At 39.7% G+C, this 18,688-nt stretch overlaps 1 protein-coding gene across 3 annotated transcripts in view; it reads left to right on the top strand.

Annotated features, from left to right (window-relative positions):
• The window catches only part of EFNA5 (ephrin A5), a 294,044-nt gene extending 278,419 nt beyond the window's left edge, over positions 1-15,625 (top strand). For 2 of the 3 annotated variants that reach the window (NM_001962.3, XM_011543250.4), the window contains exons 3-5: positions 4,748-4,813; positions 5,204-5,284; positions 11,143-15,625. In NM_001962.3, coding sequence (NP_001953.1) covers positions 4,748-4,813; positions 5,204-5,284; positions 11,143-11,264 — 269 coding nt within the window. In that variant the 3' untranslated portion in view covers positions 11,265-15,625. The remainder of the gene's footprint in view (positions 1-4,747; positions 4,814-5,203; positions 5,285-11,142) is intronic. The other variant, NM_001410773.1, reaches the window with a different exon arrangement.
• The last annotated feature ends 3,063 nt before the right edge of the window (positions 15,626-18,688 follow it).

The following is an 18,688-nucleotide window of genomic DNA, read 5'->3' as shown; positions in this document are numbered from 1 at the left end:
TTGCAGCTCACTCACCCGATTGTTAGCCAATTCAGTTCTTTGTGGGTTGTTGAACTATGACATCAGTTCCTTGTACCTCTTGGCTGGAAGTCTCTGTTAGTTTCTTGCTACATGGTCCTCTCCATTGGAAATCTCACAATATGGTACCTTGCTTCATGAGCAAAAGAGAGAGTGTTCACTAGAAGTAAGGTACAGTCTTTTGTAACAATCAGAATGACATCCCATCACTTTTGCCATGTTCTACTCTTTAGAAGCAAGTTAATAGGTTCAGTCGCCTCTCAAGGGGAGGGGATTATACAAAGGACTGCCTACAGGAATGTGGGGATACCTGGGACCCATGTCAGAAGCTGCCCGCCACAAGCATGATGGCAGTACCCGAAGGGATGTGTTCTCTACTATGTCTGAATGATAGATCTATGGTGAATTGTGGTATGAATGTTACATATATTTGCATTGCTAAATATAACTTTTAGAAGTACTGATTTGGGGGCACTGAATATCGTCATTTTCTATACCAAGTTGGCTAAGTGCTGAGTCATGCTCACCTGAGCCCCAGGAGACCAAGATTTTTGGGAAGGCTCAAGTTAGAGCCCCTGTCTGAGGTCATGGAACAGAGTAAAAGTAAGGGGCCCTCATGGCCTTATTAGCAGAGTACTCGAAACACAGAGAACCAGAGAGTCTCCAGCTTGTATTTCATTATGTGTTAAAAGGTTTTGATTGGTACGTTGCAGCTCATTCAGGGGAAGGGACTCTATGGATTGATTTATAAAGTTGCTATTAAGATAATGGAATGGGACATTGTGCTTGTTTTAATTGTCCCCATATCCCTACTCCCAACTTCCTGACTCCAACTTACACTTTAAGCAGTAAACTGAGTAAATGGGTGTGAATTTGGATGATGTGACAACTGTTTTAAGACATTTCTCATTTTAGTTGAAAAATTCTATTAGAAAATCCATGTGTCTTTAGAGGAAGATTTCAGATCTAGATTTTTTTTTCACCTGTTTGCAAGTCACTGCCTCTTTTTGGTTGCCAAAGCTCTGGTTTGGAAATTTAGGGATAAAATGTCTTCTGTCCCAGTTGCTGCTGGTTAGCTTCTGGAGGACCTGTGAAGCCTCTGATAAACATGTCTGGGACACACTCTTGCTCCCTGCCCAGAGCTGTGCTGGCTCTTCATGTAAACCTCAGTTGTCACATGGATCCCTCCAGGTACGCTAAACTGTGGTTCATATTTATGTCCCAGCTTGAAGAACCACAACACAAGGGCAGGGACAGTTTGAAATCTTATATATCTTCGCATGCACAGCACCTAATAAAGAAGCTGATGCATAGTAGGCATTTTATTTTATTTATTTATTTTTGATACAGAGTCTAGCTCTGTTGCTAAGCTGGAGTACAGTAGCTCAGTCTCGGCTCACTGCAACCTCTGCCTCCTGGGCTCAAGCAATTCTCATGCATTAGCCTCCCGAGTAGCTGGGATTACAAGTGTGTGCCACCATGCCCAGCTAATTTTTGCATTTTTCGTAGAGACAGGGTTTTGCCAAGTTGGCCAGGCTGGTCTCGAACTCCTGGCCTTAAGTGATCCATCCGGCTTGGCCTCCCACAGTGTTGGGATTGCAGGCATGAGCCACTGCACCCAACCCATAGTAGGCATTTTAAAAGCATTTGAAATGATAGATGAAGCTGCAGTAATATGTAATGGATTTTTATAATTATTCGTTATCAACTTTCAACATCGACTATTCATTTTCTAAGGAAAGCAGCACAAGAAGTTATATATAGTGAATATAATTTATGTATATAAATTTATATATATTTATGTATATAATTTATGTATAAAATACTTACATATTTACTTTTAACTAAGATAAAGTTGGCCATGACAAAGTGATGTATCTCTAGAGCCATAAGGATTAATACTACCTACCTCCTGACAAAAACGAGGCATGTTTTAAGATTTTACTCCCTCATTTCCATCCTCAGCTCTATCTATTGCTCATAAATTGATCCTGAGATTTTCTTTATAAGTTTATTAGTGGGAATGTTACATGTTTCAATTCCTCTGTTATGTTTTGTTTTTAGTGCTCAGTCCTCTGCCTTTTGTTTACTTGTGATTAGTAATGCACTTTTATATTACCTTATGTCTTCAAATAGTACTAATAATTAATTATCTGTATTTTTTAGTTGGTATAAAGGCATCCTACATTTGTCAGCCAAGAAGTGTGGGGTGACAGAACCTTGAGCATAACATAGAGGAAAGCCACACTTTAACTTTATTAAACGTTACATTTAAAAAATGGAGTTTTGCTACTACATGGAAAACGTTTTCATCTTTTTGGATTTTTTTGTTTGTTTGTTTTTCAAGGTGTTAAATAAGAAACCCAAGTTATACTGACCTAGTAAGGCACACTTCTCAGGTTGGCTGTAAGGGTTAGGAGTTTACTCCTTGAGCTCAGGCCAGTGATGCAGTGATGATCGAGTGAATCCATGGCATGCAATCTGTGTTGTGTACTCACATATCACATTGTGTGCTAATATTCTTTGTTCACAAATTTTTCTAAGGATTAGAGTATAATAGTCACAGTATCACAAGGCATCAGTCACATTTCCTGGTGACAGAAAATGAGGAAGTAGTGGGGCAGGTTGTTAGGGAAGAGAGGTTTTTATTTTATGTGTCATTTAAATACAAATGTATTTCATATTTTTAATTCACAGAAGTATGGAGCACATCCAGTAGCTAAGACTGTGTCCCTCCTTGAGAGCTCATGGAGAGAACTCTCCAGTTTTTTCCTGGAGGCGTATCGTTTGCTGTTTAGTTATTGCCATGTGCCCTACAATAATTTTCATGTCCTGGATTTATTTCTCCTAAAGAAAAATCTGAAAGACCTGTACTAAATCCAAGAAGCTCCTCGCTAAACCAATTAAGCATTTGATTCTGTCTTCAGCCTGTTTATCTAGCAGTATCATCTGTAAAGTCAGTTATGTGCATGTAGCAAATCAAGTTCACAAGGCTTGAAGTGAGTTCATCTCAGCTCAGAAATTCATTGAACAGCAGTGTGAACATCCATGTGTCACTTTTTTCACACTAACTCTCATGAATAAGACATATACTCCCTCAGGAACCCGTGGTTTTCCTAATGAATTGGAGTCACCTATGTGTACTGTATTTGTGACATGCACATTTGCAGTTGAGGTCCACAGGAAGGACACCATTTCCTGGATCAAACCGCAGAGTGCAAATATTGTGCCCTAAATAACACACTAGTTACTGTAAATGTCAGTAGAGGGAGTTTTTCTGGCTATGATTTAATGAAAGCCTACAGCAAAGCCAGCTGTTAGCACTTCTTAACTGCTTGTCAGAGCAACCAGGGGAGATAGGGAGGACCAAAAACACTTTTTCTCTACACTTTTGTTTTAAAATTAAAGTAGTTTTCAACAGGTGTTGAATAGGGACACTGGGGACCCTATACTACTTGACATTATTTAGTTGGTGAATTTAGAAGTTCTCCTCCAGGAGGGTTACTTGGATCTAGAATTACATAAGGAGACTGTGTAAAATTTGTTTGGAAGTTTGTATATTGAATCCTCTCACCTGCAAAAGAAGCATTTTTGTGTTCTCAGCTCCCCATGAGGAATAATTTAAAAATAAAAATAAAGGAGAGAGAAGACACACCAAATGCCGATCCCTCTTTGTCACTTTGGGTATTGCCAAACTAATTGTAAGCCATGTGTGATTTGATTGATGTCATCTGCTTTTTCTGAACAAAGAAACCACTTGAAGCAAACACATAGGGAGGAAAGTATGCGACGCTCGTTTCTGTAATTTTTGTCATTTCTAGGATGCATTAGTAAATACATGTGGTTGTTAAGGGCCTTACTGCCCTTGGAAATTCCTTTGACATTTTGCTGTGTGTACACAGGGGAGATAATCTTTCAACCATAGGGAAAGTTTACAGTCTTATTATCTTGAAAAGGAGAAGAAAGTTTCTTCCTCAAGTGATTTATAACTTGAAACATGCTGTCATGTTTTGGTAAGCCCACTTTATTAATTCCATCCTTCTCTGTGGCAAATTGAAAAAAAAAATACATGTACCGTTGCAACATAGTACTTTCTCAATAGCATATTGTACTTATAATAGCATGATGGAAGTTACCGGGCTTGGGTTAGTCATATAGAATGCAGAGCCAAGTTCTGAGTAAAACCTCTAATTGAATTACCTGCAAAAGCACTGACAGACAAGCTTTCAGTACAGACAAAGCTCTGCTTTCCCCAGCAGAAATAGGTCACGTTTAAGTCTGCCTTGTAACTCTCTGTTATTGGTTTTTGCCGGCACTTTCACCTTGGGCCTCTGTTGGGCCCCTTTTCCTGCAGCAGAGGAGGAGCGGCTCTGTGAAAGCTGGAGGGCTCACACATTATCCTCTCGATTTAGAGAAAATTGATAACAGATCAAGTTAAATGGAAGAGACTTTGAAATAAAAATCCAAAGTATTTCTTCACAGATTACTCACATTCTTGCATGATTCTTTTATTGTATTGAAAAGAGAAACTCAGGATATGAAAGTAGCCTTTCTATAGCAGTGAGACCTGAAAAGTACTGTTTGTTTTAATTTGGAGGAGGAATTAGAGAAAGTTCCTGTTGTTCAAGTCAGGAAAGAATTTATTGTTCATCATTTGTATGTGAAAATGAAGAGTAATATGTTGTTGTTCTCTTCTTTCTTTCCTGCTCTCTCTCTGTGTTACCCACAGCCTCTGCAATCCCAGATAATGGAAGAAGGTCCTGTCTAAAGCTCAAAGTCTTTGTGAGACCAACAAGTAAGTTCACTAGAATGAGCTTCAGAGGGTGGCTTCACCGCGCATGCTTTATTGTGTGGTCTGGTTCACGGCGGTAAAACTTTTTTTTACTGTTAAATCTTGTGTGGTATCTGTTTTGTATATCAACATTCATATTTTAGTTTTCATCATATTTTTTCTCATTCTTCATGATGCTTTTACTTAAGTACACAGCAGTTGCTAACTTGTTGTTTCTTAGACTGTTGTACATGCAGAGCAAATGGGAACAATATTGGCATTTGGAACATGCCATTGATTGTAAGACAATCTACATAAAAAAAGAAAAAAAGGAGAGAAAGAAAAAAGAAAGAAATGGGAGTTTAAGGGTGTCTTCACTAACATATTTGGCTGTTATCTCTATTTTTGTTATAGATAGCTGTATGAAAACTATAGGTGTTCATGATCGTGTTTTCGATGTTAACGACAAAGTAGAAAATTCATTAGAACCAGCAGGTTAGTATGCTTAGAGAATCTCTTTTAACAAATGCATCTATTTCTCTGGTGCTTCCGTATTTTTTTCCTTTCTTCTTCTCTGCATGTTTGCATGTTATAGTTGTTGTTCTGCTTTTGCTCATTGCTAGCGATGCTAATATGACTTATATTCTACCTCATTCCTCCAGTATCTTTGTGCAATGCATGTTAGGTAAAATAAAATTTTCTTTTTTGGAATGGGTTTGAGCTAATGCAGTATCCTAATATAGAAGCCCCATCGGAATGCTAAAATCTCACTGCCTTTTACCATATCCTCAGAGCATGCTGGTGAATCACTGTGAATATTAAAGGATCTGTTTTCATGTAAGACACAAAACATTTCTATGTATATGTTCATAAAATTTTATTTTTTATGTCCAAATCTGTAGATAAAAGTAATAAGACTATTGCACAAAATAGAAACTAATTCAACATACTTAGTTTTCTCTAGAAATTTACATGCATCATTGAACTGACCTAAGGAACTTTATTTTATTTAAATATTTTTGCTATTGTCAATAGTAATTGGTCTGGAGAAGTATAATCACATTGCCACCACAAATTCGCACATCTCTTGTGCCACAAATGTACCAGTAGCCTGTTGAGCCAAATGTGATCCTTGATTACCGAGGCAAAATAAGTTTTAAGGATAAATAAAACTTTTCTACGATTGACTTCCACACTCCTAATGTTTCCCATAACTAAAGAAAAATAAAACCTACCAAAGCACTCGTTGAGGCATTAGTCTGTCGCATACTATGGATAATAAGAACCTGTAAATATCCATTCGGTTATCAATTCAGTCTGGCCATTTAATAAAACTAGATTAACTGAGAGGAGTGGTCGCCCTCTACCAACTGCTTATGGAGGGGTGTGCCTGGAGGCCCTGTGTGTTTCCTTCCTCTGTGGTGTCCTCTTCTCCCCGACCTGCTCCAGATCTTCACTGGTTTCCTTACCCATCTCCCTTGATCATCTCAAAGCTTAAGGGAAATAAAATTATTTCCTCTTCATGGAGAGATTTGAGCCCCCTTATGTAAATGGAGAATTTTTTTTTTTTTTTTTTTTTTTGTAGAATTTCTCTTCCTTATGGTCCTAGAAACTAACGGACATTAAGGTCCACTTTTTCCTCCAATATTGTAACCAGGACTGCATAGTCAATGAACCTTAGGGAAACTTACCCTGAGTAAATGCTGTGCCTCAGGACATACAATAGCTTTCCTGTTAAAACTGACAGGAAGAGTTAGAGTTTTTTCCCTGAAGCATTCTTGTTTTCTAAGGCAGGCATCTCACCCAGAGCGCAAATGAGAGGTGTGTACAATGAGCTCTCCGAGGTCTTAGTGGCTCCCCAGGGATCAGTTAGCTGCTTTAGAAAGTTTTAAGGAATGAATGCTGACATGAAGGCATTTTAATTGTGTCCTGGAAATCTGGAGCCATGACTTTGGCTTCTTAAGGTACCAGAGTCCTCACAAGCTCAGGGACTTGGGCCACCAGAGGATCTGCAAGTTACTCAGTATCTCCCTTAACAACCCCAGACTCTACACTCTTCCTTCTATGGCTGAGGAGACTCACCCATGCCACATTGCTGATTAGGTAGATCCAGGTTTAATACTCAGATCTTCTGACTCCTATTCCAACATTAGTATCAAAGTAGTGGTCTCTTACCATTATTAGAGGTATGTTCATAAAGAGGACTTAAGTCTCTTGTCTTTGTTAAGAAGCCACGAGAAGAATGACCAGCATGTTCTAAACAAAAATTACCCAGGATTATGATCTCTTGATACACATTGTGCAGAATGTAGGCATATCTTTCCCATGGTTTTTTTTCCAGGGAATCTCCACTGCCTGTCTATAGCATAGGAGGCTGCTTAGACACCTAACAGATTGCATATTTTTCTCTGGTAATGAAGAGGCACATGGAGGACTATTCTGCCATTAGGAAAATTACCTTTGAATTCCACTAACGATACAATGCAAGATATTGAGATGCTTTCATACATGAACATATACCACTGTCTTTGGGGAAACAAGGTTTTTTTTCACTAAGCATTTAAAATGCACAATGGCCCAAAATTGATGGACATATAACTGCTGGAAGTTTGCAAAAGTTTGGCAGAATGTAGTTCAGTGTGTGCATACGTGTGCTGGGGAGTAGAGCGTAGGTGTACATGCAGGAAAAGCTCCTTGAGTCAGTCAGAGCTATATTTTAAGGGCTTGCTGGTGAGTATCTTCACTAACAAAGTGAGACAAGGTTGAACCACAATTCCTGGCAATAAGAAAACAATAAGAAATGTGTTTCTTACAGGTGTGAGGCACTGTGCCTCACACCTATAATCCCAGCAATTTGAGAGGCTGAGATGGGTGGATTGCTTGAGGCTAAGAGTTTGAGACCAACCTGGACAACACTGTGAAACCTTGTCTTTACCAAAAAAAAAAAAAAAAAAAAAAAAATGTGGTGTGTGTGCCTTTAGTCTCAGTTACTTGGGAGACTGAAGTGGGAGGATTGCTTAAGCCCAGGAGTTCGAGGCTACAGTGAGCTATGATCACGCCACTGTGCTCCATCCTGGGTGACAGAGCAAGATTCTGTCTCTAAGAAGAGAGAGAAAGTCTAGTTGGATTTGCAGTTCTTCACCACTGTGTCGAGCCACTGAGTGAAAGGGTATTTACCTTTCCCCAGCTCTGGGTGTAGACCCAGTCTTTATGAACCCAGCAAGTCTGAAAGGATTCCACTGCATGATCTCAGCGATGTGTACTAATTCACCTGTCTTTGGAATGTATTTGTCTTTTTTGTTTGCTTGCACACTCTGCCTGCCAGTTTCCTATCATCAGGGATGCAGGATGATCTCAGGGCAGACATATGCCACATAACATGCTCCAAAATATCGCTAGTGTTCTCTCCGTTAACCATTGAAACCCCCATGTTGTGGAATCCTGTAGCCAGGAGGCAAAACTTGATTTGACTTCTGAAGAGGAACGTTTTCTTTCTTCTTCCAAGCCTGTGTTACAAGCGTTAGAAATTCTCTCATGTTTAGGTGTAGTTTCCATTGGGATAGATTTTACCTATGAATTCCTCCTTAGAATTCTGAAATTGCTCAGATTTACCCAAATGACAGCCAGTTTCTCATTTCACATTTGGGGGCTGTAGAATCTTCCAACATTGAGAACCTGTTTTAATCAAAGGATGCTTTGTGGAATCCTGAATGAGGAACAGCATGTTGCAGGAAGAAGAGAAGGATCCTGATGCCCTAATGGGACTGATTTCCTTTTGGGGGGCAGGAAGATATATATTCGTTGGGTGCTTATAAAAGGTTAATTCCAAAGATTGTGTATGGTTAAAGGACTGAAAGTCACACTTAGCCTCATACTTCACTTAGATGAAAAACAAAAGCCTTCCTCTCCATTACCTTGTAAGATCTATTCCTTGTGTCTTGTGCTGAGTGGACCTGGAATAATGGATAGCCCTCACTGAGTACCTAGAAGGGACTAGGGTGGTGATGAAGGGGTTCACACCGAAGATCTAAGTGCTAGCTGGGTACCTTTAACAGTACACTTGCAAGCTATACAAGGAGAAGGATTGGGTAATATGCTAGTAAAAATAAGATGGAGAGGAATCCAATAGCTGATGCAATTTCAGGTGTTTAAGTATGTGATATTGTGAAATGAACTCTGGAATCCTCAGGGTTTGTGGTTATTTCACAGTTAAGCCTGAAGTGCTCCATTGTTTTGATTGACAACATATTGGTGCTCTTAAGAAAGTGATTTGGATTTTAATTTCAGGGCTATTAAGGGCCTTTACTTCTACTTCCTATTAACTACAGATTTAATTAATACACTTGCAAGGCTGAAAAAGAGCAGAGAATAGAAGAGGGTCTGAAGGTACTTGGCCACATTGTGGAGGACTTTATATATATTTTTTCTGCATCCATTTATCTTACCATCTTGCTTCCTAACCTTTTCTAGTCTCCTAAGCTAAAATCACTCCATGCAGATTCGCTAAGGTCCAGGAAAGGGGAGCACATTTGACAAGGGGATGCAGTAGCTTTTATTCGAGGGGAGGCTAAAATGGTAAGAGCACTCCAGGTCAGGAGACTCAACACTGAGAAGACCTTTCTCATTGGGAATGGATGTGATGGACAAAACCATCCCAAACGAGCATATCTGAAGCAGGGGTCAGCCTGTGAACCTGAAAAGTGGTTACTTTAGGACAAATATTAGCGAGTGTGATTCTACCCAGTGAAGGAAAAGCACCCTTATTGTGACACGTGTGGTAGGAAAATACAAATGAGTTTAAAATAATGGTTAGTTAACCCATTAAGGGGTTTGAGGTGGGTCATCCAGGGGTATTTAGGGATTATCCTTTGAGGTCAGTATAATTGAGAACAACCACTAGAGCCTTGTTACCATTCTGTCTGGCCCTTGAGCAATTCCCAGATGGCAACTGCTGAACACCTGCAGGAAGTTACCCTGATGCTGAGATAAAATTTGCACAGGGGCTCACTATTGGCCCCCAAAATGTGTTATTCAGAGATCCTTAGTCTAAAAGCACAAGTGGCCAGGTATAGTGGCTCATGTCTATAATCCCAATCCTTTGGGAGGCCAAGGGAGGAAGTTGGTTGAGGCTGAGTTTGAGACTAGCCTGGGAAGCAAAGGAAAACCCTGTCTCTCTAAAAATTCTTAAAATTAGCCAGGCATCGTGGTTCACACCTGGAGTCCCAGCTACTCGGGAGGTTGAGGCAGGAGGATTGCTTGAGCCCAGGAGGTCAAGACTATAGTGAGCTATGATTGGGCCACTGTACTCCAGCCTGAGCAACAGAGCAAGACCTTACCTCTAAAAAAATATTAATTAATTTAACTTAATTAAAAGTAAATAAAAGCATAAGTTAGGTCAGGTGGAAAGAAGAAGACAGGCAGCCCTGGAGCAGAGCTTGGCTCCTAGGCAAGCCTCCAACCTCTCTTTGGTACTAATTGCTTCAGAGTTCCCATTTGGAAGTTAAGCCTGTTAATCATGCAGATCAGGAAGGCTATCCAAAGTCAGAGGCAGCCTCATAGAACACTTTATAGCTAAATAAAAGAAGCTTAACTCACTTAATCTATTTTATTTAGAGGAAAATTTGCATCCACGCTGATAATTTATGTGCCAAGCTTCAGCCCGATAAAAATAAAAATAGTCAAGTTCAAGTAATTTAATCTTAGAAATACAGGGTTTGTAATAGAAATAGCACCATAATTGACACCTAATTGCAGGCAAACTAGTGGGCATACGTTTATTGAAGTTTACTAGGCATGATGTATAGTTTATCCAAAATGCTGCTGTTTTGGCATTTAGTTTTTCATGTTTGAAAATTCGTCTAGGCATCCAACAACCAGGCATTCAACACTAATCCTATGAAACAGCTAAAAGAAGGGAAATGGGCAGCGCATTCTGGTTAACCACTACTGTGCCAACATAACTGCCCCTTCCCCCACCCCCACCAACATGTCACTTGCTTGCCTGTGACATCTTAGGTTTCAAAGGTACATTCAGATATCTGAAATTTGTGCAAGGCGTGTCTGACTGCTGGCTAACCAAAGCAGCTCACAGGCCAAAGGTTACGGTGTATGCATAATTTTTCCCCTCAATTTTTAAGGAAAGTATTAATATTGCTGAGAAAGTCCAATTTTCTTTGCCTCTTCTTTGTTTGCTGTAAATAATGAGTGATTATGCAGACATGAAAGTCAATGGTGGCACAAGGTTCATTACCCTACTTTGCAGAGGGTGGCGAGGTCTGTTAACAGCAGGCTGCTGCAAGAGAGTTATTAAGGATGTGAAATCTCATTGGAATGTGTGCTTTCTATTTGAACAGATGACACCGTACATGAGTCAGCCGAGCCATCCCGCGGCGAGAACGCGGCACAAACACCAAGGATACCCAGCCGCCTTTTGGCAATCCTACTGTTCCTCCTGGCGATGCTTTTGACATTATAGCACAGTCTCCTCCCATCACTTGTCACAGAAAACATCAGGGTCTTGGAACACCAGAGATCCACCTAACTGCTCATCCTAAGAAGGGACTTGTTATTGGGTTTTGGCAGATGTCAGATTTTTGTTTTCTTTCTTTCAGCCTGAATTCTAAGCAACAACTTCAGGTTGGGGGCCTAAACTTGTTCCTGCCTCCCTCACCCCACCCCGCCCCACCCCCAGCCCTGGCCCTTGGCTTCTCTCACCCCTCCCAAATTAAATGGACTCCAGATGAAAATGCCAAATTGTCATAGTGACACCAGTGGTTCGTCAGCTCCTGTGCATTCTCCTCTAAGAACTCACCTCCGTTAGCGCACTGTGTCAGCGGGCTATGGACAAGGAAGAATAGTGGCAGATGCAGCCAGCGCTGGCTAGGGCTGGGAGGGTTTTGCTCTCCTATGCAATATTTATGCCTTCTCATTCAGAACTGTAAGATGATCGCGCAGGGCATCATGTCACCATGTCAGGTCCGGAGGGGAGGTATTAAGAATAGATACGATATTACACCATTTCCTATAGGAGTATGTAAATGAACAGGCTTCTAAAAGGTTGAGACACTGGTTTTTTTTTTTAATATGACTGTCTTAAAGCATTCTTGACAGCAAAACTTGTGCTCTCTAAAAGAAGCCTTTTTTTTTTTTCTAGGAGGCAGGTTGGGTGTGGAATGCTAATACAGAGCAGGTGTGAAAACAGAGAAAACTACAGGTTTGCTGGGGGTGTGTATGTGTGAGTGCCTCTAATTTTTTTGGTGACTGGGCAGTGCACACCAGATATTTTTTCTTTGAATACAGATCACCATGGTGCTACAACTTTTTTTTTTTTTTTTTTTTTTTTTTTTTTTTTTTTTAAGAAACTCAAAGAGGCATTTTTATGAATAAAGTGACCTTCCCCAAGGCTGACAAGCCAGGGTTGATGAGTGCATAGTGGAATAGCTTTGGATACTCCTCTGGGGGATGACATGTACCAAGGAGAGGACCGCAGTGGCCAGAGGAGACATGATTTGGCTTTGCTGGAGCGCCAGTGTGCTGTGGCCTTTCCCCGCCTCCCACCCTAGTACCCACGTTTTGCTCCACACTCCTTGACCGCAGGGGCTCGGACACAAACCCCTGTCACCAGGAGAGTCAGTCAGCACTACTTGGGAGGGCTAAAGGGAAATTTGGAAATAAAATTCCAAAGTTTGGAGTAAAAAAATTCAAGTGTTGATTTTATATTCTTTCCCTTTCTGACACAGCCTAAAGCGTAGGGGGAACATGTGTTTATCTGTGGGAGATAAACAAGATGGAGTCCCAAAGACTTTAACAAAATATTTTTTTAAAAATCCACTAGAATAGAAAATACATTATTTAGATATACTTTATGCTGAGAGTGAGTATATATGCTTGTCCTATTTAAACTTGTGAGAAAAAGTGGTATCCCTTGATACATTTAGAAATATGGGGGCTATCTTGTTTCATTGTGGGGGTGGGGCAGAAGGAGAATAAATGCAGGATGACCCTGTTGAAGGAATCTTAGCATGGCCAACAGGGGACGTTTCCAGTCGATTACCAGGAAATGCAAGCCTTGGGGTTTCTACTGGTGGTGGGGCTGTCATGAACTTTAAAATCCAAAGCCTAGACAAGGAAAAGTGTTAGACCAATTGAAAAGCAATCCAGCCCTTTTTTTTTTTTTTTTTTTGGCTTTGCACGACATGTCAACAGAAACCATGCCTTTCAATATAAGAAATAAATGTGATGATCATGTAAAATGTGAAAAATTGAAAGCATTCCAGCAAAATAAGAATTTTTTATATATTTGTTTTTTAAGATGTATATGTTAAAAAAAGAGAAGGTCGCATTATGGACAGACTTCGTGAATGGGAATTTGCTTAGAATTGTGAGTAGTTCTGAATTAGAAAAGTATGTGAAGGAAAGGCAGCTGTAAACGTATTGTGCCCTGGAGAGTTGTACACATGTTGAAATGTAATCTGGGCTTACCTGATCCATTTGGAGTGGATGTCACTGCCGAGTCTGTTCTCACATGGAACCATGTGTGTGGGGTTGCCAGCCTCACAGATACAATCAATCCTATTCCCCTCTGACATAAGGAACTCCTCTGGAGTGGCAGAGTCTTATCACAGAAGGCAGCCACCATTTCACCAAAACAAAAGTTCACGGCATTCAATTCCTTTTTCCTTTAGCTATTTATATATGCAGTACTCTCAGTCATATGCAGAAATACTTTTTTTTTTTTAATTAATAGTTACAGGCTTGTTGGTCCAGTGGGATTTGGGTAGGGGGAGAAAGATACCTTCTAAAATGGATCAATAGAACCAAAATAATACAGCATGTTCTATAACCACAAGGAAATCAAATGATCCTGTCATGATTCCAGTTAGTCATAACTATGTTAGCAGTGCTAAATGCATTTTAGAAATGGTGACTTCTGTGGTTTTCCTAGCATTTGTCTCTAACAAATGGTGAAATAATTACTCATGGCCCTCTCTGCCATTGTCTTTCATTTTTTCACAGTGAAATTAGACCCCTTTACTTCACCATTCTGCCACTGCAAATTAAGTATAAAGAAAATAGCAAGAGTGTCCACACCAGTAGACAGTAAGCTTCTCTACCTGTAAGTGATGAAATCATAGCTAATGCACTTGCCATGGAGTTTTCAAGATGATTGGTGTCAGACAGTTTTCACTTTGTTTAAAAAGTGTTGGTGGCCTTTTGTGGTGGTGTTACAATCCTCTGGGGGCTTAGGAGGATGTTGATGCAACTTTTAGAAGCTTTTAATTTCAAAAACAACTCAAAAATCTGAAGGACAGTCATAGCTGCCACTCAGCCCCAGTTAGTCAAACCCCAGTGACCTTTGCCCCTGGTTGCCAAGGGCTTTGCAACATCAAGCAGGGAAATAAGGATCTGTCTGTTTAGTGGATACCGTGTATCCTTTAATAGACCAGGTAACAGTTCGTGTTAGTTTAGACTATTGTTTTGTACTGTACTTTCTTGGGTGGCAGAGGAAAGAAAAGTAAAACATTAAAAAAAAAAAAAAAACTGCGTTCTTTAAATTCTGTATTATTAGCAACCTCTGTTGTACATAGTGTTTGATAATAAAGTATTAATTTGATTCTTATGTCTTTTGTAAGTGAGAACAATAGACTTTCAGGATACAAAACATGCATTGAGGCTTTGAAACATCCAATGTGTACCATGGCTGAAAAAAAGAGTCACAAGTGGCTGAGACACTGCTCCATACAGGACTCATGTGTGGTCATTGCCCACCCAATCTTATGACTCCATCATCTTGGGACCTGGAACAACATGACTTTTTTGATCGATATTTTGTCCTCGGTGTTTTCAAGGTCTGATGTTGGAGCCCTGTGGCCCACCCTCCCTTCTCCACCAGCATGTTGGTTTGAAAAGGATAGGGAATTTAGAAACAGTTCTGTACTTTGGTTTGGTTTGGTTTTCTGTTTGTGATTGTTTTCATGGACTGTTTTATTTTTTCCCAGGAAGAGTCTTTATCAATATCATGTGCAGCTCACTCATGGAAATGGTTGCAAACCAATCAGTGTAGGAAGCTTAAATGGGGCTGTTTCCCTCTCTGTGTCGTTGTGAAAGGAAGAGTCACACAGTACCTGTGGATTTTCAGGGACTCTGTTTTTCTCCGGTGCCTTAGCAACGGCAGCAGCCATTTGTATTATTTTCAAATAATTAGAAAAACAGTTTTCAACTCCTCCTTTCCATTCATTGCTCTCAGAGTTGTGGTCACTGACTTTTCTTTTGAAAACCGCCTCCACCAACACCCCCGTTTGCCTACACCACCCCCCTTTTACTTAGTATGTTTATTTTTTGTGTGTCTCTTGCCTTCCTCCCACGTTTTATTTCCCCTCAGAGCTGTGAATGGGCAGGTCTGTCTCTGGTTTGGCATCACTGAGTTTTTCCCATGCATTGGCCCCAGGGCTGCTAGGATGTGAGACAAATCTCCCTACAATGGGCTTGCTCCCATTGTCTGTACAGTTTAATAGATGCTGGCATGTCGGAGGTTACCCATGAGTCAAAATCCGCTCTCCATGCTTACTCTTGACACCCCATTGAAGCCACTCATTGTGTGTGCGTCTGGGTGTGAAGTCCAGCTCCGTGTGGTCCTGTGCTTGTACTGCCCTGCTTTGCAGTTCCTTTGCACTTACTCATCGAGTGCTGTTTTGAAATGCTGACATTATATAAACGTAAAAGAAAATGTAAAAAAAAAAAACCCACACACAAACAAACCCATACGATCTGTATTTGTATATACACGTGTCCGTACAAGTATAACTAAATAAAAATTAAAGATTTTCATCATTTTAATTGGATCCCTCCTTCTACTTGTTTGTTCCTTGAATGATGCCTTTATTTCAGGGGCTACTTGTACTCTGCTGATTTTTCAAAATCTTTGTGGACAGAAAAGATAATACAACATGCACAAGAGAAGGCCTGGGAAGCTCAAAGAATGCAGAGTTAGAAATGGCCAAGTATCTGGGCGCATTCCAGTTATTCTGATGAGAGAATAGTGAGATTTCAGCCTAGTCTCTGTATTTGAGCCTTAAAATAGGCACTATGACAAGCCCTGCATCCTAAAACGACTGTTAAATACAACAGGAGCCAAATACAAATTGTATTCTTTTACTTTAGACATAGTTTTTTCACCCCATCAAGAAAAAGACCAAATAAGCATTTTCCCAGCAAATATACTGGAAGAAGAAAAGAATAACAGTAATGATAATCATAATCTCTTCAGTACTGCCCAAAGCCTCAATTCTCACAATCAAGGAAGAATTAACTTACTACTGTGTGACCTTAGGCAAGTCACACGATATCTTTGGGACTCAGTTTCCTTATCTGTAAATAACAGGGCTGTATGAGAGATTGTTCCATTTTCTAAATTCTACCCTTTTGGGGCACGTCAAAGCCCATTTTACATCTATGTGATGTGAGTGTGTTTTTGTCTTTGATGATGACATTGCTATAAGCACAATTTGACAATTTCATCTGTAGAAGAAAAAAACATCAAATATCTGACATAATAGACACCTAATGCATTTCAAGACTTGGCTTTAATTACCCCATGTTAACATTAAGCTCATTGAAAGCTTTTTATTATACTTAATTATTTGACAGGGCACTAAACACTAATTATAACTTACTGTAACCTTTTTTTGTTAATGAAGAATGACAGCTTTATAGGATGAGAAACAACTTACATTAAAAAATATGTACTAGACTCCTTACATGACATTTTCAAACCAGAACAGCATTACGTTATCATTGTCATCTTCACCATCATCATCAACAGCATTTAAGTGATCATGACATTGTGCTCAGTGCTGTGCAAAATAAAGTTAATGTTTACAGTCTGTACTTTCAAAGCTTACAACATAAGGCAGACATTACGTGTAAGCATGACATAATAGTGATTTATAGAGAAGAAATAAAATCCAAGCATTTATATTATACATAAATAATAGGAGAGATAAATACTTTTTTAAAACGTGAATGGGAAAAAGTTTGGGGTTATAGATTAGTAAGATTGAGTTAAAGGAAATTACTTTTAAAAATAGTCAAGATGGGGTTAGGGACTTCTTAGAAAATAGAACACTTGAGTTAAAAGCATTGTAGGCTTTAAGAGAGTGGAGAAATGCATGGTGTAAATTTTCATATTAGCCACAGAGGCTACTGTAAAAATGTGAAAACCCATAACACCATCTGAATGTCACTGAGGCAAATTATGGGTGTGCTGGTCCAGAGAAATCACGCATTTCTTCCCCTAAGGAAGTAGGGGAAGTGAGGAGTAGATGACAATTTCAGATTCTGCTTTATGGAATAGTCAGGTAGCTGCTCCTGAAACTGAGACTGTATCTACACCTAATTGTGAGATGTCTAGAACCTCATTGAGTGGGAAGGCTGGACACACCCACACACAGATGAGGGAAATGGTATAAAATCCAGAACGTGCAAACTGTTGCACACGCTAATGGAAAGCTGACTGGACCAGAGATGGGACAATGAGCAGTGCTGCACCAACACACCTAATCTGGTAACAAAGCATTTGGAATGCTCAAGTAATCTAAGGTGTTGTATAAAAAGAATCACAGGGAAAATGTTGGAATCTAGATGTCCATGCATGTGGTGACTAAAACACACATGTATGTACCTGAATGTCTTATAGGAATGTCTATAATCTAGGTGTCATTTTAAAAGTTCAATATAATCCTGATGAATTGCTCACTGACCATTCTAACAGTTTCTTGAGAATTGTTTGCAAAACAATTTCTTAGAGATTGTTTGCAAAACAATTTCTTAGAGATTGTTTGCAAAGATTAGTTTTGTATTCTGCTGATAACTATCCTTCAGGAAAGCATTGGCAAAAAATGCTATGAAAAGCATTATAATTTTTGCACATTCCCTTTGGAAAACAAGTATTTCTGAAAATCATTAGAAATAATCTGGCCAATATTCTCCATCAGTTTTTATTTTGATACATTCTGCTATATTAATCAAGTCATTCAGTGGTTAAATACATATGAAGGCCTATTTTTAAAATGGAGTTGTAACTGCTGGACCCTGTGAGCAGTACATTTGTATCAATTGCGTGTCTTTGTTTTATACAGATGATAAATGCATAAGATTTTTTTTTTTAAAGGAAATTGCATTGCCCAAGGAATTAGTCAAGGGCTTCACCAAGGGTTCATTTGGTTTGAGGGAGGAGGTGATTAGCCAAGCCACTCTTTAAACAAATAGTACCTAATTAAAAACAGTGGGCTTGCTGAGAAATACTGCTTCCAGGTAAGTTCCCTTCCCACCTCCTCCTTTCCAAACAGAATGCAGTTTCTAAGCCCTTTTATACAGAGTTTCTGTAGCCACTCCTAGCACTGGAGAAAGAAAAAGGAGTAAAGGCCTCATGTTCAGCATATTCCAACATAATGACCCTTTCAACAATTTTCTTCAGAGATTGTCACACTCCCTTCCCAAGAGCCTCAGTACATGCTGAGAGTAAAACATGATTTCACTACTTTTTATTAAAAATGCCCCCCTCTTTCTCTCTAAGTATCCCATGAGTTCTGCCATCTCATCCCAGAACGGCATTAGTTGGTGTTCACGCTGATGGCAGGTCAACAAGGCAGTGCTACCCACTTTAAATAAAAAGAAGTTTCAGTTCCTCTTCTTGTCATCTGCTTTTTTGATCCAGAGTTTAATTCCTAAACATGTAGTTTTCTGTAATGTTAATGAGAAAAGCCTTTCTAGCTCCATAACCCTCATCATAACAGCCCTGGGAAGAAGAGGCCAGCACCAGGGCTACGGTAGGAACCTGGGAGGCCCTGACCGTTTAGGGTAAACGTACCTTGCTGAGGCTGTCAGTCTTTGTTAATTCAG

This window comes from Homo sapiens, chromosome 5 (genome assembly GCF_000001405.40).
Source record: "Homo sapiens chromosome 5, GRCh38.p14 Primary Assembly".
NCBI lineage: Eukaryota > Metazoa > Chordata > Mammalia > Primates > Hominidae > Homo > Homo sapiens.
The sequence above is the reverse complement of the archived record's forward strand: the minus strand, read 5'-3'. Positions and strand labels throughout refer to the sequence as shown.